This window comes from Homo sapiens, chromosome 8 (assembly GCF_000001405.40).
Source record: "Homo sapiens chromosome 8, GRCh38.p14 Primary Assembly".
In the NCBI taxonomy this organism is placed as follows: Eukaryota; Metazoa; Chordata; class Mammalia; order Primates; family Hominidae; genus Homo; species Homo sapiens.
Genome location: NC_000008.11, coordinates 19,957,408 through 19,983,919, shown reverse-complemented (window position 1 = coordinate 19,983,919; position 26,512 = coordinate 19,957,408). Strand labels below are relative to the sequence as shown.

At 38.9% G+C, this 26,512-nt stretch overlaps 1 protein-coding gene across 1 annotated transcript in view, besides 1 other annotated feature; it reads right to left on the bottom strand.

Moving 5' to 3' along the window:
- Window positions 7,875-8,075: a silencer, noted in NCBI's record as "peak6935 fragment used in MPRA reporter construct". NCBI's record gives its function as "represses an SCP1 promoter by STARR-seq MPRAs in K562 erythroleukemia cells {active_cell/tissue: K562}" and the evidence as "EXISTENCE:reporter gene assay evidence [ECO:0000049][PMID:32103011]".
- Window positions 16,661-26,512, bottom strand: part of LPL (lipoprotein lipase) — a 28,007-nt gene continuing 18,155 nt past the window's right edge. Inside the window, exons 7-10 of the mRNA NM_000237.3 lie at window positions 24,540-24,660; window positions 22,837-23,019; window positions 21,701-21,805; window positions 16,661-18,610 (exon numbers count right to left, since the gene is read on the bottom strand). Coding sequence (NP_000228.1) covers window position 18,610; window positions 21,701-21,805; window positions 22,837-23,019; window positions 24,540-24,660 — 410 coding nt within the window. The 3' untranslated portion in view covers window positions 16,661-18,609. The remainder of the gene's footprint in view (window positions 18,611-21,700; window positions 21,806-22,836; window positions 23,020-24,539; window positions 24,661-26,512) is intronic.

The following is a 26,512-nucleotide window of genomic DNA, read 5'->3' as shown; positions in this document are numbered from 1 at the left end:
TAAATGTGATATAACCTAACTGAGGAAAGTAAGGATGAAATTTACTTGTTCTGAAGACTCTATCCACCTTACCTATCTGGAGACAGACTAGCTTATTTTAAGATGTAAAATTCATGCAACTGATTGTTTTCTGAAATAATCGGTAGAATTCAGTTGAATCCAGTCAACTACAAACATGTATTTTACAAAGCAATTATTATTATATTTTTAAACAAAGCATCCTTTGGGCTGATTTTGAACTTCAGCAAAAGGCTTGTGTGCCATTCTACAAATTGTCTTTTTCAGAAGAGTGGATGCTAAAGGGCCTACATGGGTCTGTTAGCTCCGCTCTGATTTTCAATAAAGACCAGCGATAATGATAGTGACAAGAATGATAATAGCCACCAGATACTGAGCACTTAGCATGCTAAGAATTTTACCAGGAAATTCCTATTTAATTCTGACAACTGCCCTGAATATTAGATATTATTAGCTTTATTTTATGAAGGCAGAACTAGGGCACAGGGAATTACTTAATTAGGAAGTAGCAGAGCCAGGACCTGCTACTGTACCTGTTTGTCCCCAAGTCTGAGTTGTTAATGACTGTACCATAAAGCCCTCTCAAACTCATGCTTTAAGGGAAAGAAAGACCACCGTATAGTGCTTTATGCTATTAATTTTCACTCACATTATGATTTTCTTAGGAGTAGGAACTCAGTAAGGATTAATGTGGAGTATGGTAGGGAAAGTACCAAACCAAGAAGCAGGAGATCTCAGATATGTGCACTTGGGCAAGTCACCTGATCTCTTCAGATGATAGTATTCTGTCTATAACATGAGCAGTGTTAAAGAAGAATATTCCTGACACTGGTTAAAATGGTAAGGCACACTTTATTCAGGACCATCACCATTGGTATAAGGTGTACTAAATGGAGTTTTGCAGTAATCAGGAGAAATTGGGCTCAACTTCAAAAACAACAAGAACAATTGGGAATTTATAGCCAATTTTTAGCAGCAGAAGGAAAATTACTAAGAGGAAACATCAGAGTTGGAGGAGATTCTGGCTAAATCCAACTAATAGGATTCTTATTGAAGGCAGGCCAGGCGAATCGGATGTCACCTGAGGGATGGTGGAGGATGAGGAACTCAATCACATATCAAAGGTGACATATCGAGGGTCCTGCCTAAACTAACTTAGCAGAATTCTTGCTAAAGTCGGACTCTTGAGAACACATCCAAGGACATGGAATGAATGAAAAAGAGCTCAGAGGAGCCTGTCTAGAGTTTGGTCAAAGAGAGAATCTTTGTCAGGAGGTCAGTGACTCTAAGATGCACACCAGCCTTACCATTCACTTCTCACATGTGTCAGGCATGTTGGTGTGAGAAGATTATGTAAGGGAGTGGTGTTGAGGTGTCTCAGATTTTGTGTCCACTGTGTGGAATGTATCATAATTTGTTTATCCATTCATCAGGTAACAGGCCATCTTCATTTTTTCCAGTTTTAGCAATTTTAAGTAAAGCTACTGTAGTAGTCAGAATAATACCTGCTCCATCCCATTTTTGTTGTTTTTTGTTTTTGAGAGTTTTTTGTTTTGTTTTGTTTCTGTTTTTGTTTCTGTTGGTCAGGCTTTAATGCAATGGCGCGATTTCAGCACACTGCAACCTCCGCTTCCCGGGCTTAAGCAATTCTCCTGCCTCAGCTTCCCAAGTAGCCAGGATTACAGGTGCCCACCACCAGGCCCGGCTAATTTTTGTATTTTCGTAGAGACTGGATTTCATCATGTTGGTCAGGCTGGTCTCGAACTCCCAACCTCAGGTGCTTCCTCCTGCCTCGGCCTCCCAAAGTGCTGGGATTACAGGTGTGAGCCACCACGCCTGGCTCTACCCCTTTGTCTTCTACACACAATGCATCTGAATCATAATCTCCAGAAACTGTGAATATGTTAATGTCAAAAGGGATGTTGTGGGTATGATTAAATTAAAAATTTTGAGATAAAGAAATTATCTTGGTTTATCCAGGTTGGCCCAGTATAATCACAAAGGTTCTTATAAGGGAAGCAGGGAGGTAGGAGAAGCAGAGCCGTGTGTGTGTGTGTGTGTGTGTGTGTGTGTGTGTGTGTGTGTGTGTCTGAGAGACAGACAGATTTGAAGATGCTACATGGCTGGCTTTGAAAATGAAGGAGGCTACAATCCAGGAATGAAGTCAGAATCAGCAAGAAAGTGAATTCTCCCCTAGAGCCTCCAGAATAGACAAAACCCAACATACTTTGATTTAGCCTAAGAGTTATTTTGAACTTGTAACCTCAGAATTGTAAGATAATACATTTGTCTTGCTTTAAACCACGAAGGTTGTGGTAATTTGTCACAGTAGTAATAGGAAGCTAATACAGCTGCTCTAAATATTTACTGTAGGTTTTGCGTCGATATTTTGCATTTCTCTTGGGTAAAATTCCTAAGAGTGAAAATCTGGGTCCTAGATACATGTAAGTTTAACTTTACTAGAATCTGCAGAACTGTTTTACAAAGTGGCTGTACCATCTGGCATCCCCACCAACGATGTCTGGGAGTTCTAGTTGCTCTAAATCTTTGCTAACAATAAAGTTGGTCTTTTTATTTTAACCTATATAATATTACAAATTATGTTGAGCATCTTTTCATATGTTTCTTTCCCAACAACATTTTTTCTTTGGTGAATTGTCAAAATATTTGTTCATTTTTAAACAGTTTCCCATCCCCACTACCATCACCTGCCTTCAGCAACCACTAATCTATTTTCTGTTTCTGTCGGTTTCTCTATTCTGGACTTCCATACAAATGGAATGATAATATGTAGTCTTTGGTGGCTGGTTTCCTTCCCTTAGCATAATATTTTCTAGGTCTATGTGGGATGTGGTAAGTAATAGCATGTATCAGTACTTGGTTACTTTTAATGGCTGAATAGTGTTCCGTGGCATGATTATGTCCCATTTTGTTTATTCATTCGTAGGTTGATGAATATTTGGGTTGTTTCACCTTTTGTGCCTTATAAATAAATGTGCTATAAATGTCTATGTACACATTTTTTGTGGAAATATGTTTTAATTTCTTCTAGTTATGTACCCATAGTGGAATTACTGGGTCTTATGGTAACTGTATATTTAATTGTTTGACCAACTGTCAGACTTCTTTGAAAGCGGCTGAAGCATTTTACTTTTCTGTCAGCAATGTTTGAGGATTCTGATATATACTTAGAAACACTTATAATTATCTGACTTTATTATTGTAGTCATTCTAGTGACTGTGAAGTGTTATTTTCTTGTGGTTTTGATTTACATTTCTCTGATGACTAATAACATCAACTATCTCTTCATATGTTGGCCATTTATACATCTTCTTTGAAGAAATGTATATTCAGATCTTTTGCCCATTTTTAAGTTGGGTTATTTGTCTTTTTATTATTGACTTGTAAGAATGAAGTTGAGCCTTACCTTACATTATATGTAAAAATTAGCTAATAGATAAATTGAACTTCATTCAGTACAATTGGGTTGTCTTTCCCCTTTCTTAATGGCATCTTTGAGCACAAAAGTTTTTAATTTTTATGAAATACAATTTATCTACTTTTTTCTTTCATTTCTGTGCTTTGAAAAAGTTTATGTCTTGGAATCCTTTGCTAAATCCAAAGGTGTATCAATTTACCCTTAAGTTTTCTGCTGATAATTTTATAGTTTTAGTACTTTGAGTTAATTTTTGGATATGTAAGGAAAGGTAAGGAAAGGTTCCACTTTGATTCTTTTGCACGTAGGAAAGTTTCCAACTTCATTCTTTTGCGTGTAGCTATTCAACTGTCTCAGCTCCATGAGTTGAAAAACGATTCTTCCCCTCCTACCCTCACCTCCGCTGCCACCGAATGGTTTTGTAACCCTCATTGAATCAGTTGACCATAGGTGTATTAGTTCATTTGTGGACTTTTAACTCTATTCCATTAATCTATACATTTTTATCCTCATCTCAACACGACACTTTCTGGATTACCATTGCCTTGTAGTAAATTTTGAAATCAGGAGATGTGAGCCCTCCTACTTTGTTCCTCTTTTCCAAGACTGTTTTGGTTATCCTGGGACCCTTGCATATGAATTTTAGGATCAGCTTGTCAGTATCTACAAAGAAGACACCAGGATTCTGATAGGGATTGCACTGTACGTCAATCTGAGGAGTACTGCTATCTAAACACTGTTAAGTTTTCTAATCCATAAATATGAGATGCTATTCTGTTTATTCACAGCTTCTTTAATATCTTTCAACAACATTTTGTAGTTTTCAATGTATAACTTTTGCATTTATTTTGTTAAATTTATTATTAACTATTTTATTGTTTTGATGTGATTGCAAATATTTGTTTGATTTTATTTTCAGATTGTCTATTACAGATTATTCTTTGTGTAGAAATATAACCAGTTTTGTGCTTTGATTTTAATGCATCTTCAAGCACAAAAGTCTTTAATTTTGATGAAATCCAGTTTAGCTAATTTTTAAAATAATTACTAATCTCTTTACTTGTTTCAGGTCTATTCAGATTGTCTATTTCTTCCTGAGTAAGTTTCAGTAGTTTGTGTCTTTCTAGGAATTTGTCCATCTCATCTAAGTTATCTAAATTGTTGATATACAATTATCATCATATTCTTTGTAATTCCTTTTATTTCTGTAGCATTGGTAGTAATGTCCCCTCTTTCATTTCTGGTTCTAATAATCTGAGTCTTTTTTTTTTTTTTTTCTTGGTCGGTCTAACTAATGCTTTGTCAGTTATGTTGATCTTTTAAAAAAACAGCTTTTGGTTTCATCGATTTTCTCTATTGTTTTTCTATTCTCTGTTTCATTAATTGCTGCTGTAATTTTTTATTATTTCTGTCCTTTTGCTAGCTATAGATTTAGTGTGCTCTTCTTTTTCCAGAGTCTTGTGTGTGTGTGTGTGTGTGTGTGTGTGTTTCTTTGGCAGTGGCTTTTCTTTTTTTTTTTTTTATTTTATTAACCTAAAATATTGTTACTAATTTGAGATCTTTCTTCTTACTTAATATAGGAATTTACAACTAGGAATTTTCCTTGAAGAATTGCTTTAGCTGCATCTCATAAATTTGAGTATGTTGTGTCTTCATTTTCATTCATCTCAAATTATTTTCTGATTTCCCTTTTGATTTCTTCTTTGATCCATTGGTTATTTAGGAATATGCTGTTTAATTTCTTCATATTTATGAGTTTCCCTAATTTTTTGCTGCTATTGATTTTTAATTGTATTCCATTGTGGTTGGAGAACATATTTTATATTATTTCTATCCTTTAAATTTATGAAGCATTTTATAGTCTAGCATATGACCTACCCTGGACAATGGTCCATGTGAACTCGAGAAAATTGTGTATTGTGTTGTTACTGGGTGAAGTGTACTATAGATATCTGTTAGATATACTTGGTTTATTCTTCACGGCTTCTGTTACCTTGTTGCTGTCTTGTCTAGTTTTTCCATACATTGTTCAAAATGCGATATTGAGATCTCTTACAATTATTGTTGAATTGTTTTCATTTCTGTCCATTTTTGCTTCATGTATTTGGTGCTTTGTTATTAGTTGCATATAAATTTATAATTATTATATTTTCGTGGCAGATTGACAATCTTATTAGAAAATGTTTCTCTTTGTCTCCAGTAACATTTTCTTTTGCTTTAAAGTCTATTTTGTCTGATATTAGAATAATACATCAGCTTTCTTGTGGTATTTGTTTGCATGATATGTGTTTTTCTATTATTTGCAATCTATTTGTATGCTTACTTGTCCATTTTAATTTTAGTTTAAATTTTGAAATCTTTTAAGGATTGGGTTGTTTAATATTGAGTTTTAAGGGTTCTTTAATAGTTTTGAATATAAGACCTTGATCAGATTTTTTTTTTTTTTTGCAAATATTTTACTCAGTCTGACTTGACCTTTTATCTTCTTAACACTATCTTTGGAAGAGCAAATGTTTTAAATTTTGATTAAGTCTTTGTTATCAGTATTTTCTTTTATGGTTTGTGCCTTTGATATCTCAAGAAGGCTATGATTAACCCAATGTCACAAAGATTTTCTTCTGTTTTCTTTTAGAGGTTTTATAGTTTTAGGTTTTATATTTAGGCTCAGCTCTAGTAATTTTGTATATATGGTGCAAGCTATAAATAGAGGTGGTTGGGTTTTGTTGTTGTTTTTGTTTGTTTTTACATAGAGATATCCAGTTATTCTAGCACCATTTGTTGAAAAGGCTATCAATTGTTCATTACATCCCATGGGCAACTTTGTAGATCATTTTTATTTATTTCATCAGATTGTTTACATAGATGATCATGTATGGAAACAAAGACAGTTATACCTCTTCCTTTCCAATATGGATGCCTTTTATTTTTTTATCTTGTCTTGTTGCACCGAATGGAACCTCCAGTATAGTATTGAATAGGTCTGGTAAGGCAACTATCTTAGCTTTTTTCCTGATCTTAGGAAAATAATTTAATCTTTTACCATTAAATATAGTTTTATATGTAGGTTTTTTGTGGATGGCCTTCATCAGGTTGAGGACATATCCTTCTATTCCTAATTTTCTGAGAGTTTTTTTTATCATGAATAAATATCAAATTTTGACAAATCCATCTTTATCTTCATTTTTTATGGTTGCAAAATAATCATAACTGACATATATGTGTTGTTCACTAATTTGCTATTACAAGCAAAATTGTAATGACTGAGACTATGGTAATATCCTTTTGCAGATGTGTATCTTCAAGGTAAATTCCCAAGAGCAGAACCATTAGAAAAGGATATGTATTTATAATTTTGAAAGGTATTACCAATTGTCTTCTACAAGGATTGCACCAATATACATTACTATCTGCAATGTAAGACTTATTTTCCTTTAGAGTTGCAAACAAGGTGTATTTTTAAACTTTGAGATTTTCTGAATCTAAATTGGTAAAAAGTGGCATTTTCATGTATTATTAAATTCTATCTCTTATTATGCATGACAATGACTACCTTTCATATGTTTAAGGACCACTTTATGTTTAGATTTGTGTTCCATCTTTTGCTCTTTTTTCCTTTGTGTGTGTGTGTGTGTGTGTGTGTGTGATTTTATTGATTTTTAGAAACTCACAATTACTATTTTTTGAGACAGAGTTTTTGCTCCTGTTGCGTAGGCTGGAGTGCAATGGCGTGATCTTGACTCACCACAACCTCCGCCTCCTGGGTTCAAGGGATTCTCTTCCCTCAGCCTCCCGAGTAGCTAGGATTACAGGCATTCACCACCACGCCCAGCTAATTTTGTATTTTTAGTAGAGATGGGGTTTCTTCACATTGGTCAGGCTGGTCTCGAACTCTCGACTTCAGGTGATCTGCCCGCCTCGGCCTCCCAAAGTGCTGGGATTACAGGCGTGAGCTACCGCGTTCAGCCAAAACTTACTTTTTACTTTTTATATATCAATTTTGGGGGGATCAATTTGTTATCTTTTGACTTTGCTTATATTTCAGCTTATCTTAAATGGGTTACATTTTCTTCCATTAATTTTTCTGCTGAGCTTTTAGGCATGTGACTTAGGAGAAAATGTGAGAAACACTATAGTTACGTCAATTATTTTGACAAATCACTTTTTGGAAAGATATTCACACGTGGTGAGCCTTCTAAAAATGGTGTGCTGATTTCTGTTACTTTTTTTCATAGAAATTATACAATATAACTTGAGCATTTCTTCTTTTACTGGTGTGAATAAAATGTACCACCCTCACTTCCTCACACCCTACATCCTACCCTTTAATGAACCAGTAAACATCAAGGAGCAGCGTGATGCTGTTTGTTGTACATGAAGTTAAAATGTGCCCTTGGACTTGAGGTCACCTTGAAATAATGAGTGACCTGGTCTCAGAAGGCTCCATACCTCTGAAGGGACACTTATCATTGTCATCTTAGTCAAATCACATGTGGCGGCAGAGGAATCTTACGGCCTCATTTAACAACCCAGGCTCACCTCTGACCTGGGGACATCTAAAAGCCTAATTTTCTAGCCCTTACATCGTTATCAAAATGCTGAGTTCACAGTGTTACTCAGGCACATCAACGAGCTCTTTATTTAACTAGCACTGTCATTGCCCTCAATGTGTGACACAAACTCACATGATTTTGGCCCATACAATGGAAAAATAAGGTTGGTTTTTACTTTAAAATCAATATTAAGTTATTAAAATGATAGCATATCAAGACATGAGTATCTTCCTACCTTCTTTCTAACTTCTGTTTTCTGTTGCTTTTTTTAAAAAAACCTGACTCAAAATCACCCGCTCTTTCCTAATGATCTATTTTGGTCAATATCTCAGTTCCTTTTTGTCTCCTGGTTGTTTTCTCCTTCTTAGGACATATAGGAAAATCTCTTTCTAGAACAAATTGTGTTCCTTTTCGTTACATCCTTGAGAAACTCAGTTTAATGAATCAAAGAAGGTATTTTTAGAGCATCCTACATGTTCTGTTCCCAGGAAGAATGAGTGTACTGGTCAATTTTGATTACACCCTCTGCTTGTAGAAACCTACAGAAGTGGAGACATGGAGAGAAAAATGAGAAGTTTCATTCATTTATGCTGCTTGTTGGAGTTTAAAAGTACTTATTCATGACAGTCTTTATTCATTTATGTATGCATTTGTTCAACAAATTATTAAATACACTTATTTTTATACTTTGAATTTTTAAAAGAAAAGTAGATGGATAATATAATCGTTATTGCCAAAGGAACTGAGAAGGCAAGACAAACAGTGATGCAAATCAATTTCTGGGCAACAGAATGCTGGGGGAAATGTAGGGCCAAAATAATATTGCAACAGCATTTTTCTAGCTTCTTCGTCCCCCTTCTTTATATCCAGGTATCTTCAGCATCTTTAAATCATTCATAACAAACTTGGGTGAGAAACAGAGCAGTGAGTAAAGTCAGGGTTAGCATGTACAGTATAGTGCCTGTGCATGAATTACCAAAATTTGCCCACTCTGGGCAGATGAATTACAAAAAGACAAGTGTATGAAGACCTTTGTCACTCCTAGCTTTTTTTTTTTTTTTTTTTTTTTTTTTTTTTTGAGACGGAGTTTCGCTCTGTCGCCCAGGCTGGAGTGCAGTGGCGCGATCTCGACTCACTGCAAGCTCCGCCTCCCGGGTTCACGCCATTCTCCTGCCTCAGCCTCCCGTGTAGCTGGGACTACAGGCGCGCGCCACCATGCCCGGCTAATTTTTGTATTTTTAGTAGAGACGGGGTTTCACCGTGTTAGCCAGGATGGTCTCGATCTCCTGACCTCGTGATCCGCCCGTCTCGGCCTCCCAAAGTGCTGGGATTACAGGCGTGAGCCACCGCGCCCGGCCCACTCCTAGCTTTTCTATATACTCCCATAAGTCTGCTCAAATATGCCACAGGCTGCATGACACTAGCACCTTGCAAAATTGCCCGCACATCGTAGGTACTTGATAAAAATTTGCATTGACCTTACATTTTCCTTCCTTTTTCCATCCGGCTGTTACTAATATCACTTGTCACAACCCACCACAAACGAGTTGCCGAAGCACAGGGGGTGTCAAGGTTCCCTGACCTGTGGAGTCCGCACTGAAGTCAGTGCAGCTCACAAAAGCCACCATAGACCCCAGCACATTAGAAGCTTGCTGGGAAAATGTTGGACCACCATGCCCCACACCATGGATGCCAAATCTAGCAATTCACAGATTATCATAGTTGCTTCTCCCTAAACCTCAGGCAACTCCCATAGGCTGGGCTGCCAGACAATAGAAACAGACACATGGTGGAAGTCAAAGTTGCCTCTCCTCTCTGTCTTGGGCCTCCATCCTTGAGTCACTTTTATGTGTTTTGCTTCTCTTTTCTCTTGGGAAAAATTTTTTCTGCCAATGTATTTCTGGTGCACCATCTCCAAGTGCCCCAGATATGTTCAAACAGGCTTAAAACTCAAAGGGGGGAAAAATCAACAACTCCAACTTTGAAGTCACACATTGGTTTAAAAGCCAACTCACCCACTTACTAGCTTTGATTTCTAAATTAATTCATTTCCCTGCATCTCGTTATATTCATCAATAAAGAGAAGATAAAAATACCTATTTCAGGAGGCTATTGTGAGAATGAAACAAATGTTAACCAAGCACTTCACACAGTGCCTGGCACATAGTTGATGCAGAAAAACTGGTAGTAATTATTTTTAGTAACACAACATCGGAGCAAGTACATGCAACACTTGTGCTGACAGGTAGATCGTAGTGGTAACATAGCAATGGAAGAAAAAAAGATTTCAGAAGGGAGCTCAGAAGAGTGAAAGTAGTCATTAAAGGTACTTAGAAAATAGGGTGGTCATTATAGGCAGAGAGGGACATTTGAGCAAAAATATAGAGACTACAGAAAAAAACTTTGTTTAGGGAAAGAGTAAGAGGCCAGGTTGTCCGGCGAAGAGCTTTATGTTAAATGCATGAAGAATAACTGGGATTAGTTGGAGAAGTCTGGGGAGTACAGTGATTTATTGTCTTTACCGACCTACTCTCCTTAACTTGCAACTTGGACCATTTGATCACCATTAAGGGACTTTAGGAATCCAAATTTTGGCCTAGCACAGCATGACTCAGGAAATGGTGTTGGGATTGCATCCTCAGGCTATCCCATTGTGGTGATGTGAGCTTGGACTTTGCACATAACCTCTCCCCATTTGTAATGGGGCAATGGTGCCAACCTCATAGAATTATTATGAGGATTAGAAAAGATGTATTTGAGGGCCTGGATCACATAGTCTTTGGATCTAAGGTGCAGATCTTGTGCCAATTCTTAGCGTCTCATCCATGATGTGATTTCTGCTGCCACACCAGTGCCATCTGGAAACATAAAGATTAAGGGAAATATCATCATCCTCAGCTTATGCTGCCAAATTTTATAAATCTTATTATTGATTCTTATCTCCTTTAGAGCTTTCTCCAGTTGTGTGCTAAGAAGGAATTTCATTTTGATTATGAAACCTTTGTGTTTCACATTTGGCTGAGGAGGCATTGTCTTTGACTTAGCAATCTCTTGATTAAAAGACCCTGGAGTTGTTGGAGCCCTGTCAGCGGAATGGGTGGAGTCGGAGAAGTGCCTTCATTCCAGATACCTTCTCTTAATCTCATGTCAGCAGATTTCCATTGTAGGTCCAGAGCCTGTTACAAGAGGATGAAGGATCTGAGCCCTGATAAAGGAATGAGGTCCCTATGCTGGAACTCTAGCACAGGCTTTCTGAGTGAAGTCTGTTCAAAGCCCACATTTCCTGAAAAATCAGTCATCATGAGGAACTGATCTGTGAGGACCAGAGAACAGAGTTGCCAATGTAATTCGATGGAGAGAGGATATTTTTTTCAACAAATTGCTGGAATAATTTGACTATGTAAAAAAGAAATTATTGCCACAACTACCACAACAAAAACAAAAAACACCTCTAACCACAGATAGTACCATATACAAAAATTAGCTAGAAATGGGCTAAATGTAAAACAGGGTGAATAACAACAGTATGCGTACAAACACACACATGCATATGCAAACAATAATTTATAGTTTTTTTGTTGTTAGGCAGGATGAAAAATACAGAGAGTTGAAGTACTGGGTAGAGGAATGGGATGCTACGATCTACTCTAGAAAGTTCACCTGATTCATTATTAATAGACTAATGAGAAGCAAGAGCAGTAGCAGAGAAACCAGGAGAGACTATTGAAATAATCCAGTGAAACCTGATGGCATAACATTAAAAATGGTAAAATGCAGTCAGATTCTGGATATATTTTTAAGTGAAGCTGATAGAATTTTTTTTTTTTTTTTTTTTTGAGACAGGGTCTTTCTCTGTCACCCAGGCTAGAGTGCTTTTTCGCTAATAAAAGCTCGCTGCAGCCTCAACCTCCTGGGCTCAAGCTATGCTCAAACCTCAGTCTCCTGAAAATACAAGTATGCATCACTATGCCCAGCTAAGTGTTTTTTTTTTTTTTTTTTTTTTTAGTAGAGATGGCGTCTTGCCATGTTGCCTGGGCTGGTCTCAAATTCCTGGGCTCAAGTGACCCTCCTGCCCAGGCCTCCCAAAGTGCTGGGATTACAGGCATGAGCCATGACACCAAGCCAGTTTTTTTGACTGATTGATTATGTATTGCGGAAGAAAGAACTCAAGTATGGATTCCAAGATTTCCTCCTGAGCAACTGGAAGGAAGAAATTCTTTTAACTGGGAGGAGAAAACTGGTGGATAACAATGTTTTATAACATGATAGGTTCCCAAAACCTATTAGAAAGCCAAGTGGAGATATTTGATAGACAAGTGGATATATTAAAAAGTCTGAAATTTAGAAGCGAGGTACAAGATGGAGATGTAAATTTTGGATTCATCAGCAGCTGTGTGGTGTTTAAAGCCAACTGAGTATCACCTTGTGAATAGATATAAATGAAGTTGAGACACTGAAGATTCAGCACTGGAGCACTCAACACGTTAAGGGTTAGGAAGATGAGCAGGAATCAACAAAGAGTGAGAAGGAATAGCTAATGGGAGAAAGAGGGTAGCAAACAGTGGAGTCCTAAGAGACCAGTGAAAAATCGTTTCAAGGGAAAAGCAACCTGGCTCAAATTACACAGGGAAGTCAAGTAAGAAGACAAAGGAGAATCGACCATTGGGTTTACTGCCATGGTATTCATCAGTAAGCTTAGAAACAATAAGTCTGGTAGATTGAAAGTGGCTTGATCAGACTTTGTTCGAGGATTGCGAGGGGAAGTAGAAACCATTAGTAGAGATTAAGCAATTGCTATAAAGAGGAGCATAAGGCCGGGTGTGGTGGCTCACACCTATAATCGCAGCACTTTGGGAAGCCAAGATGGATGGATCACTTGAGGTCAGGAGTTCGAGCCCGGCCTGGCCAACATGGCAAAACCCCATCTCTACTTAAAATACGAAAAAAATTAGCCGGGTGTGGTGGCAACATGCCTGCAATCCCACCTTCTCAGGAGGCTGAGGCAGGAGAATTGCTTGAATCAGGGAGGTAGAGGTTGCAGTGAGCTGAGATCGTGCTACTGCACTCCAGCCTGGGCAAAAGAGTAAGACTCTATCACAAAAAAAAAAAAAGGAAGGTGGAGATGGAAGTGGGTTCAAGCAAGTTTTAATTTGTTTTTAAGTGGGAAGTATACATTTTTGTTTGCTGTTAGAATGATCCAGTAGGAGGTGAAAACTGAGGAGCAGGAGAGAACAGGAACAACTCCAGAGCAATGTCTTTGAGTAGGAGAAAAGGACTTCCTTCTCCTTCAAGATCTTTTTATGCAAGAATTGGTCAGAGGTAGAAAGAGGGAAAACGTCTCTTATATCAGAAGGGAAAACAGAGTGTATGGACACAGGAGCAGGGAGATGGATAGATTTAAGAGTGAAGCACATAGAGCTTTATGATTGCCCCTGTATTCTCAGTAAATAAGGCAATCAGGTGAGTGTAGAGAGAGGTGAGAAGTTATTAGAGGTCTGAGATTAAATCATCATCTTGGAGAGTGAGGCCTGTTTGGACCAGGGAAATGTAGGAGGACTGCTGGGCAGCTGTAAGGGAGCCATGGAGTGAGGCGGTAAAGTGAGGGGCAGCAGGGCTGTGTGTGCATGGGTGTGTTACCTATCACATTCTGCTGCTCAGATGCAGTTATGGAGTTGAGTGGCAATTTGGATATATTCAGGGTTTATGTTTTGCCCTGAAGAGCTCAGTTGAGGGTGAGAGAAGCACAGCTCTTTAGAGTTTTGGCACTGGAGTAATAATAACCTTGGGCCTTGAAATCTAAGCTGAGTACGGATCAAAGTGAGGCTAAGAAAGGAAATGAGGGATGAATAGATCAATGTATTGGAGGTCCTGGGGCAGTTGAGGAGCTGTTGAACTGAGAGCACTAGACTGATTAAAGTAAAAAGATAGCATGTGGTAGTCAAAGAAGGGAGAAGTTGAAATTGAGTTTATGAGTTATTAGTAATGGCATGATATAGTATAGCACGTGACTGAATGTTTCTATGTAAAGGTAGATTTAGAAGACAAGGCCATGGGAGAGAGGAGGTAAAGGCAGTGAGAAGCCAGAATACTGGATGCATCATCCAGATGTTTCAACTATCTATCGTTGCAAAGCAAACTCCTAAAAACTTAGGGAGGGGGGAGGGATAGCATTTGGAGATATACCTAATGTTAAATGACGAGTTACTGGGTGCAGCACACCAACATGGCCCAGGTATACATATGTAACTAACCTGCACGTTGTGCACGTGTATGCTAAAACTTAAAGTTTAATAATAAAAACAACAACAACAACAACAACAACAAGTTATTAGTATCTCTCATAGTACTGTGAGTTGGCTGGGCTTGGCTGGGCAGAGCGTCTCTCATGTGGTTGCATCCAGATGCCAGCTCGAGCTGCAGTCTTCTGAACACTCAACTGGCCGGAGGTCCAAGATGCCTCACTCACATGGCTGACAGTCGAGACTGGTTGTTGGCTGGGAGCTGAGAGAACCACCATATGCTCTTTTCATGTGGCTTCAACTTCCCGCATCATGAATGCTGAGTTCCAAAGGGAAGTTTCCCAAGAGTGAGTGCCCCAAGGAACCAAAAGCAGAAGCTGCCAGGCCAGTTAAGGGCTGCACCCCACACTGGTCCAGGGTCATTTTAGTTCTATTCTACTAGTAGAAGCAATCTTAGGGCCCACACAAGTTCAAAGGAGTGGGGAGACTAGAAAAGCGGGGTGACTAGATTCCAACTCTTAATAGGGATGTCAAGGCAACATTGCAGGGGAACATATAGAATGGGAGGTAGTGTTGTGGCTGCCATTGGAAAATAAAATCTATCACCTCAGAGGTACTGAAATCAGTAATAATAATGACAGAACTAGTGTAGAAGGGAGAGAGAGTGAACCAGGTTCTAAAATAATGATTAGGCAAAAAACTCAGAGCTCCACAGATGTCTGTAACTAGGAAGAATAGATGGCAATAAGCTTGCTGACATGAGCAAGACAAGGGCTTAAGGGAGGAGAACGGGACAATGGTGGGCATGTCTTACGAAAAGGTGCTTTCACCCCCATCCCTGTTTTAGCTAGTCCTCAATTTGGTACAGTGTGTGAGGCCCACCTCCAGAGTTGAGTCCCACCTCCTGCTTCAGCTTGAGAACACCTCTTTCCTTTAGCCCTCGCATATGTGGATATTTTCTTTCCTCCTGTGTTACTTGGCCTGGGAGCGAGGCAGGTAGCCTTTTTGTTCCTCTCTGCAACTTTTACACCATTGTGCCGTTCTCCTCCCCTAAGCCCATGGTTCCATTTTGCATCTGGTTTCTTTCATATGGCTAAACGTTTTCAAGGCTCATCGTGTTGTATCATATATCTGCTGCTTGTTCTTTTTACTTCTGAATAATATTTTATTATGTGAATTTGTCACATTTTGCTTATCTCTTTCACAAGTTCATGGACATTTGGGTTGTCCACTTTGGGACTAATCTGATTAATGCTGCTATGAACCTGTGTGTGCAAATCTTTGTGGATCTGTGTTTTCATTTCTCTTGGGTATATATCTAGGAGTGGAATTGCTGGGTCATATGGGTTAAACTCTATGCTTAACTTTGGAAATACTACCAAATTGTTCTCCATAGTGGCTGTGCCATTTTACATTCCCATCAGCCACTTACACAGGTTCACACTTCTCCACATCCTCAGCAACATTTGCAATTGTCTATCTTGTTGATCATATCAACAGGAATTGATGGGCAGTGGCCAAGTGTGAACTGGGGAGCCCCCTCCTGTCAGGGGAGACCCAAACTCCAGAAGCCCCAATAGCTAACTGACAATAAAAGTTTGGGTCAAGGCTGGACATGGTGGCTCATGCCTGTAATTCCAGCACTTTGGGAGGCCAAGGGGGGCAGACACTTGAGGCCAGGAATTTAAGACCAGCCTGGGCAACATGGTGAAACCCCCATCTCTACAAAAAATACAAAAATTAGCTGGGTGCAGTGGCGTGTGCTTGTAGTACCATCTACTTGGGAGGCTGAGGCAGGAGAATCACTTGAGCCTGGGAGGTGGAGGTGCAGTGAGCCATGATCACGCCATTGCTCTTCAGCCTGGAAGTTTGGGTCAGTGGCCATTGAAATAATTGTTTTCTGGGCTAAATTCTTCCTGACTGTACTAAGAAGCAATCCCTACTTAGCTGCATAAATGGACTATATGCTATTAATTATCAAGGCAACCCAAAGCAAAGTTCTAAAAAATGTACCCTCCCATCCCAAATAGTTCATTTTATTGCACAAATGCTACTTGCGTTACAGCTAACAATGAGGCCTCAGAAATAGAGATGATGTACACTATAAAATGGCCAAAGATGCCTTATATTAGTCTAACATTTTGCTTGTGAAAAAGCATATTGTAGGCAAGAATAGTCCTGTGTACTTTATGCAGGCAAAATTCTGTATCATTTTCTTCTATAGTCAGTTTAAAGGATATGTAAGGCTTTCTTTAGCTTTATACAAATATAAATGTTAAAAATATCTATAAGGTACACTATAATTCTCAGAAGCTCTTCGGTTTACTAAGTACAGTGGTTACTTAGTCAAAATATGCTGAGTGAATCTGACCTAAGAATAAATTTACTTTAAAAATGATACAAAATAATGACTTAGTGTGGTAATAAAATGTTGTCAATTTTATTAAAAGCTGATTCCATTTCTTCACACAGTTAAGTACGTTTCTTTCTTGTTTTGTTAAAGCCCATTTCATAAGAGTGAGTTGGCTCTGTGAGACCATCACTGATAAAGACACATACAGTTAGCACCACACATTTATAAATGCAGATAGCCACAATGACCTTTCCAATATGTACAAGCTCCATTTACACATCCACACATGTATTTACAGCTAATAAATAAAATGTAAAGCCAGAACATCCTTGATATATATAACAAAGTTTTTCGGAGCCAGAGTTCCCAGTGCTATGTGCTGCTTTAGTGAATCTTTTAAGTTAATGCACCCTGGGTCACAACCCAAATCCAGAAATTTAATGAATTAATAAAGGGGATGCCAACAACAAATCATACATCATTTTATTTTTAGAGAGAATTCATTCCAAGCCTGATGATGTTAATCACAACATTGGTCCTACTATTTATAGGCACGATCATCTCTCTCAGAGAAAGGGTCGAAGTTCTGGCACATCAGGAACAATTTCTACTCCGACATGTTCCAATACATCCCTTGATCGACTGTTTTCCCTTCCGAATTATGCTGAAGGACAACACACATGCAGAGCTTTCTAGTATGTGTTCAGATATCACATACTTTCACAGTCGGGTTCCCAGCTATAGCCTCTGAGATATTTGACATCTTTATCATTTCATATTTATACGTAGAAGAGCATTCTGAAAAATAGGAGATCTAGTTTATAAATAGTTGTTCACTCACTCTTGATTAGTTGTTAAAAACAACAAATAGCAACCCTCATGGTACTCCATCTGGCTCATTGCACGCGATGGTTTACAAGCACTGCTTAGGAATCCACCCCAGGAACCTCTCCACCCTTTTACTTAGTAAAAACGGTCCTTGTCTAAAATCTGTAGAAGCTCACACAATGCAAAATTTGAACTCAAACCTATCTTTTCATGTCAAAGCCAGGAACAAAAGAGACGCACTGGAAGTACAACTGAAGCATGACCAAGGTAAGCCTAAAACTGAAGAGTAACTGTCAGATATTGAATGATTTTAAATTGATGAAAATCATTTGGAGAATCTAATAATAAAATTACGGTTTCTTTTTTTTTTTCTGCACCATTCAAATTATGTGTCAGCTGAGGATTACAGGCTCATTTTCAACACCTACCCAGAGAACATTATTATAATATAATCTTGAGACAAAAAAGAAGGGGGAGAGAGGGATTAAGCAATAAACGATAAAGCCTATTAAGAATTAATTGATCTAGATTTTATATCTCCTTGAATTTGTAACTTTGTCATGATGCAGGCCAATGGTAGGGACTGTTTAAAACCTCTGTGTTTATCAGACCCTTTCTTCGTCCCTCTCCAAGTTACATGTTCCTGGTTGACGTCTGGACCACATTCCAATAGCAAGAGGGAATCATTCTAAAACATCATTCATACTGCTGTGTAGATGAGTCTGATTCGTGCCGCGGAAAAGCATTTTCTGTATTCTTGGAGACTTAGAGTAAAGTTTGAGAAGGCCTCAGTCCGAAAGATCCAGAATTCCAATTAAAATAGGAGGTTCTAACCAATTATAGGCTATGGCCCAATACGCCACATGAAGGAGCCTTATTTTACTCTGCGCTCAAACAATTATTTCTTTCTCAAAGGACAAAACAGCACTTTTCATGATCCACTGTCTTTTAACGTTGGAGGATGTGCTATTTGGCCACTATACCCCATAAATTGAATTAGCCACTTTTTAGTGCTTGAGACTGTCTCCTAAAATAACTAACAAGGGTAGGGCTGGGATTAATATTCAGGAAAATCCACTTTTGAAACACCCCAAACACTGGGTATGTTTTGTAAAAGTTACTTCCTCCACTTCATTCTTCACAGAATTCACATGCCGTTCTTTGTTCTGTAGATTCGCCCAGTTTCTGAGAAAAAGCACAGGAAAAAGGGCAATTTATTATCTTCTGAGTGTTTTACAATTCCCGCCTGTCCCCCACTGGTTTTAGGATGGAAAAAGCCTTCAAATGGAATTTCAGAACAAAGGTTGTGAGAATAAACCCAGGGGAGATGTGTATAATGGATCAGAGAATGGCAGGTTTGTAGGAATGGAAGACACTGGAGCAACTATTTAGCCCCGTCCCAATAAGGTGCATCATTTTTGGAGGACTGGGCCAAATGACTTCTAAATTTAGAGGATTTCTTATTCTAAAATGTATCAAACGAAAGGCCTGTTCCATTTCATTTCTTGTGATATGAGGTTTCTGAGGAGTTAGCAGAAGGTGTGAGAAAGAGAATCTTTGATTTGATTGATTTTAATCACAGAAGAAAGAAACTGTAGAAGATTATTAGTCTAATTTATAATTACCTCCTAGATAAAGTTCAGGTACGTTTTTAAAAATGCATCTGGCTGGGTGCTGTGGCTCATGCCTGTAATCCCAGCACATTGGGAGGCTGAGACAGGCACATCACCTGAGGTTAGGAGTTCAATGACCAGCCTGGCCAATATGGTGAAACTCCGTCTCTACTAAAAACAGAAAAATTAGCTGGGCATGGTAACGGGCACCTATAATCCCAGCTACTTGTCAGGCTGAGGCACAAGAATCACTTGAACCCGGGAGGCAGAGTTGCATTGAGCCGAGATCACGCCACCACATTCTAGCCTGGGCAACAGAACGAGACTGTCTCAAAAATAAATAAAAGTAAAAAATAAAAATAAAACGCATCTGAACATTCTCTGTCTAAATAACTGTTCTGTCAGTAATCCTATAATCAGACAAGGAATGCTTCATTAGGCTTTCTCAGATAAAGTCTTGTAACATATAAAAAATACGACTGGACGTGCTTTACAAGCAGCTAGAGTTATTTACTAATTTAATGAGGTTTTATTTTCACATTCACATGTAGATTTAAAGTTGTAGATGCTCTGGCAGAATATGCATGCTATTTATGTGTAATACAAATGCATGTATAAAACTGCATCTAGGGCCGGGTGTGGTGACTCACACCTATAATCCCAGCACTTTGGGAGGCCGAGGCAGGTGGATAACCTGAGGTTAGGAGTTCAAGACCAGCCTGACCAACATGGTGAAACCCTTTCTCTACTAAAAATACGAAATTAGCCAGGTGTGGTGGCGGACACGTGTAATCCCAGCTACTTGGGAGGCTGAGGCAGGAGAATTGCTTGAACCCAGGAGGTGGAGGTTGCAGTGAGCTGAGATCGAGCCACTACACTCCAGCCTGGGCAGCAAGAGCAAAACTCCATCTCAAGAAAAAAAAAACCAAAACAAACAAAAAAAACTTCATCTAAAAGTCTCTTTCTAAGAACTGAAGAAAGTATGATATTGCCTCAGATTTGTGATGAGGAAAAACAACGTAATAACCTCTTAGAAGAAAAGTCTCCAGTTAGATAAGAATTGCGTTATTTTGCCTGGCTCAATACCACTAACTATTCTCCATTTTGAGTTTATCCTGAATGCTCTTACATTAATGCTTTTGATCCAGATGTTCTCATCTAGTCATTCAGAGTATATACACCATAATTCTATTTTTGTAAAGGACGAAAAACATATAAATATTATGTATATATAAAGTCCGAAAGAATATAAATAAAAACGTTAATTGGGGTTGTCTCTGAGTGATATGGTCACAGTGATTTTATTTTATTTTTGCTTATTTTTCCTAATCTATTTATAGTAAACATGTATAAAATCTATTATAAAGTAGAATTTAAAAACATTAAAGATGTTACACATAGGGTCTTTAATATACTTTTCCTAATAGGCATGTTTTTTTTTTTTTTGAGATGGAGTCTTTCTCTGTTGCCCAGGCTGGAATATAATGGCGCGATCTCATCTCACTGCAACCTCTGCCTCCCCGGTTCAAGCAATTCTCCCGCCTCAGCCTGCCGAGTAGCTGGGATTACAGGCATGTGCCGCCACACCCAGCTAATTTTTATATTTTTAGTAGAGAGGTGGTTTCGCCACGTTGGCCAGGCTGGTCTCAAACTCCTGACCTCAGGTGATCCACCTGCCTCAGCCTCCCAAAGTGCTGGGATTGCAGGCATGAAGGCAATTCTTATTCTATACATTTGTCCCAAATGCAAACTAGGAAAAGAACAAACCAAAAGCAATTGCTTTTCCTGTTTCCAGATGACACTGTGTCTAGCCTTTCCCTTCATTTCTTGTGTCACTGGCTTGTATGACATGATCTAATATTTCTCCCCTTTGTTCCTGTAACCCATTAGCACTTGCTGTCTGGCAGGGGATGTGTGGAGGGTTGAAAAGGGCATATTCCTGGAATTCAGAACAGGAGTAGTGAAGGTCACATGCTTAGTGTCCTCTCAGTACTGACGCTCTGGAAAGATGCAGCTAACAGCTGCCACATGGATTAGCCCTAAAGGTCAGGTAGGAAAGAGGCACAGAGTTGTTTGGAGATAGAAGAGAGAACAGTTTCCTATAACTCTCATTCTGTTTGCTTGGCAGCTTTGAGGGTTTTGAGATGGGTGCTTGGGGCAGCCCTGTTGGCTGTGTGTCCCGGAGTATGCTGGCACTTGGAGAATCAAGAACTATGTGGCTGCAGGTGATGCAGTGAGATCTTTTTACTTCCCTGAATACATCCTGGGAAGAGCTGCACCCACAGCCAGAACGGCAACTACTAAACTTGTGTTACATGCTCTGCAGATGGCATCTGCAAAGTCAGCAGAGACGCAGTAGAGAAAAAAGGAGAAGTGAAGATTCAGGGGTAGTTCAAGGAGTAAAATAAAACCTAAAATGTGTGCCTGGGTTGAAGGTCCGGGCTGGGAGAAACAAGAGGAGAAAGAAAAAAAGAGGAAGTATTGCATAAAGCAACAGACCCATTTGATACATATGCAGAAGGACTAAGAAAGACTGATTGAATGCTTTGATCACATGAGTCAGGGCAAGCTGCTGGTGATGGGGTGAAGAGGAATGCATGAAGCTGCCTCCCTTAGGGTGCAAGCTCAGGATGCCCAGTCAGCTTTAGCCCAGAATGCTCACCAGCCTGACTTCTTATTCAGAGACTTGTCATGGCATTTCACAAATACCGCAGGTGCCTTTCCTTTCTGCAAATGAGACACTTTCTCCCTAGAACAGAAGATCACCCTGTGGAAGAAAATGGATGTGAATATGCCATGTAGAACAATCAAAAGCACTGTTCACAAAGGTACAGTTCTGTCAGGACTGTTTAAATAATACATGATCATGCTGGGTAATTGTTTTGATATTCCCAATAATTAACTGTCACACTCAGGCCACATCAGAATCAGAGGGTAATTTGAGAGCCTAACCTGGTGTTCAGCAACCAAGCTAGTTAATTTAGATAGACAGGCATGCAGACAGCCTAGAGCAGTCTTATGTTACTGGGCTTTCACCAAGAGATGATAAAAGATCAACTCTGCCATCTCTTAGCATCTGCATTAAGGAATTAGGGCATCTGCCTTCAGCTAGACATTGCTAGTGTAAAAAAGATTCTTTATAACATTTCCATCCCCAAGATCTTTTTCTTTTTTTTTTTGTTTGTTTGTTTGCTTCTTTGGTGATACAAGCAAATGACTAAAGAGAAATAATTTGTCAATCCTAACTTAGAGTTTTTTTAAATTAACAATAACAGCACACTATAGTTTGCAAAATCCCAGCACATTTAGTATAAAAGCTTTAAATCCTATAGCGATCTCTGTGTAATTCATTTTATGGGTACACATGGGTGGGGCTGCGGAGACAGGTTGAGATTATCTTGGAATCTCACCCTTCTTGAAGAGGTTGGTTTGAATCTTTGATTATCCAGGTAGCATCTCGGAGGTTTGTTCCCTAACTATTTTGTACTTACAAGAAACAGTGCCAAATGAGAAGCTGAGATTCCTGACTTCTAATCCCAGCTCTCACTGAATAACTGTGAGCGATTCAGGGCTTATGTTTTCCTTACATGAAATACAAAAATACTGTCACTTCCCCCCCCCTGCCCCCCAAAAATAAGAAAATAAAAGAAGACTCCTAAAGAAAATCTACATCATACAGTAATAAATACAAGGTTTCCTAAAGCTCTCCCTGAATTGTGAAGGCCCCTGAAATACAGCCCCTAGGTCCTGACATCAGGTGGGGGTCTAAAGTGAAGGAAGAAAAATACATTTAATTACTTTTTCTGAGTCTCTCCTGCTTTTACTCTGATCTTCTGAATGGCGAAGCCGGGACTGCTCCACCAGTCTGACCAGCTAAAGTATGAATCACTCTTCCATTTGAGCTTCAACATGAGTAGTTCTCCAATATCTACCTCTGTGTAAATTAGGAAGGAGTAGGTCTTATTTGTGGAAACTTCAGGCCTAAACAAAAAAGCAATAAATTTGGTTAGTTATAGAGATCAGCTCTCCCTGCCCCCCACTTTTTTTTCTCCTCTCCAAATATAAATAGCTTTATTATTTAGGGGATATTTTAAAAATGCACAAAAATGTCCAACAAAGAACTCAAAATGAAGGTCGATGGCATTTAGTATATTTTAAATTATATCCACATTCCAGCATTTATCCTAATGACATGAACTATTTAATACAATTCTAAAAGAAAATCCTGAAGTCAATCATTCAGAAATATAATTTTCATTTTCATGTATTCCTTTTCAATTTGTGTTGATACTTGAACATTATTTAGCTACAATCATAGCACACATACGATTCTCTATTCTTTATTCTCTTCAGATTTTATATTCCATTTTTTACTATGTTTTCCTGGGTTTCCTACAATTATAGTTTTTAAAGGCTAGATTGATTTTAATGACTTGATAAACCACGATTCATTTACCCACTGCCTCAATGTTGGATACTGGGTTTCTAATTTATGCTAGTATAGGTACGACTGTAATTGATGTTTTTAAAAATGTTTGTTGACTATTTCTTTAGGATAAATATTAGAAAAAAATCACTCCCTTCTATGTAATAATATTTTGTAGCTATGGAAAGTTATTAAAATACTACCTTCCGCACCTGGAGGGTTCTAGCCGTGAATGATGCATGGTAGGTTCGCATGTTCTGCTTCACCACCTTGTCTGCACTGGCTATTTTTAAAGATTTGTTCATCTAGTAATTGTAAAAGTATCAAGTTGCCTTACTTTTATTTCTTTGATTAGTAGTAAAGGGTAGGCTGGGCATGGTGGCTCACACCTGTAATCCCAGCACTTTGGGAGGCCGAGGCGGGTGGATCACCTGAGATCAGGAATTCAAGACCAGCTTGGCCAACATGGTGAGACCCTGTCGCTACTAAAAATACAAAAATTAGCTGGGCATGGTGGTGGGCACCTGCAGCCCCAGCTACTCGGGAGGCTGAGACAGAAGAATTGTTTGAACTCGGGAGGTAGAGGTTGCAGTGAGCTGAGATCGAATCACTGCACTCCAGCCTGGGCAATAGAGAGAGACTCCATCTCAAAAAAAAAAAAAAAAAAAAAAAAAAAAAGAGCTAACACTTTGTCATGGACTTCTTACTACTTATATTTTCTGTACATATTATATGTACATCTATAGAGTGGTTTCCTGTTACCATTGCTCATTTTCTTTAATGTCAAACCTTTTGAGATAGTTTAATTATATTGTTTAACAGCAGCTTTATAAAAGAAATAAACAGATATAAGATGATAAATAAAAAAATATAACTAGTAAGTGAAAATAAAATGGCCAATTTGAAGCATTTTTTTCTCAATATCAAATAGAGGAAAGACCTCAATTTTGAAATTCTGATTTTTTTAACTAAAGACTTGTTTTCTAGGCATCGCTCTCTGCTTCTGCTGCTCAGACCAAGGGTTATGGCAGGAGAGGGACTGGTGCCATGATGACCGCCCCCCTGTGCTACTCACAGAGTGAATGGGATGTTCTCACTCTCGGCCACGGTGCCATACAGAGAAATCTCAAAGGCCTGATTGGTATGGGTTTCACTCTCAGTCCCAGAAAAATGAATCTTTACTTGGTAATGGAAGACTGTTGGGGAGGAAATTCGAACATGTTGATCAATCTTTATGAAAATATCACAACCCCAAATAGTCAGGCAATTCAGAACCACAGAAGTATCTCACTAGCACTCAAACCGGAAGTGCACACACATGGAACCACTGGTGTGGCTTGGAAAGACTTCATCATGCACAGTGTTCATACCTAGAAAATGCAGACCTTGAATTCTACTCCCTTTCAGAAAAGTGTGGTTATATGCATAGGAAAAACCCAAATGTGTCTGAATTGCCAAGCAGCATTAGGAAGTAGCCATCTTTGAGGGGTGCTAGGGAGATCAAATCAGAAGGCCAAAACACTCATGATGCTTTCTCCATGAACTCCGCCATCCTTGGCCATCTTGTGCCTTAGCATCTGGAGCAAGCATATTTGACATTTGCTTCTGTGTCACTATATGTCACTGTGTTTGTTTCATGAGTAGGTCTGTCCTCCACCCTGACTGTAAGCGGGCTTCCGGTCACAGGATCATGCCCATGCTCTTAATTCCCCCACCATCTAGCGCAGATTAGGTGTCTAGTAGGTGCATCATAGAACTTATTTCGTTGATTTTTCCATTCCGTAATGGGCACACCAAAATCTCACAAATCACTACTAAAGAACTTACTCATGTAACCAAACACCACCTGTTCCCCCAATAACCTATGGAAATAAATAAAATTTTTTTTAAAAAAGAACTTATTTCATTGAGCCATCAGTGAGGCCACAAGGACTGCCTTGTAAAGCCAGCCCCTAAAGTATTCTATACTAGGGACAGCCTCTGGAAGCAGGTAGTTGAACTTCTATATCTCCTCCCTGCCCCTCCTCTGGTCTCTACCAAAAACCCTGAGCAAATGGGCCTGGGGAGAGGTTAAAAGGAAAGGCAGCAGGACTAAAATAGAACCATGATGATGGAGGAAAAAAGAGTTCTTGGAGGCCAGGCATGGTGGCTCATGCCTGTAATCCCAGCACTTTGGGAGGCCTTGGTGGGTGAATCACCTGAGGTCAGGAGTTTGAGACTAGCTTGGCCAACATGGTGAAACCCTGTTTCTACTAAGAAAAATACAGAAATTAGTTGGGCGTGGTGGCGGGTGCCTGTAATCCCAGTTACTCAGGAGGCTGAGGCAGGAGAATCGCTTGAACCGGAAAGCAGAGGTTGCAGTGAGCTAAGATTGCGCCGCTGCACTCCAGCCTGGGTAACTGAGCGAGACTGTGTCTCAAAAATAAATAAATAAATAAATAAATAAATAAATAAATAAATAAATAAAATAATTCTTGGAATGTTTTTTCTTCTATATCCCACTATCCTTGGTCAGATTTTTTTCTTATTTGTGTTACTGTCTATTAAATGTATTTTCTCTTAAGCTGAGACACAGATCTCTTAAGACTGATGGTTTAGAATATAGCAGACCATATTTTTATGCTGCTTTAGACTCTTGTCCAGGTGAAAAAATTTTTAATAAATGTTGTGAACTTCTGATAACAATCTCTATTTTGTTTAGATACATCTCTTTTTATAATTAAAAAGTAGTCAGATACTAAGCAAAAACAGAAGAACAACAACAAAACCCCACAGCTGCTAAAAGATGAAGAGACATTGAATTGAGAATTAAGCAAAACCCTTGCAGGCAGCAGGACAGGCCAGAGCTGAAGAAGCTGGGAGTGGTGAGGTGCCCCTAGGGGACACTGACAGAGCCTTGAACCCACTGGTGCAGGAGGCAGGGATGAGTGAAGCCTGTCTGTGTCTTCAAGATTATGGTCCCACAGTCCTCTCTTTACCTCATACGCATTGCCTGATTTTGAAGAGTTAAGGTTTCCTTGAAGCACAGGTGCCTCAACCTCTATACCA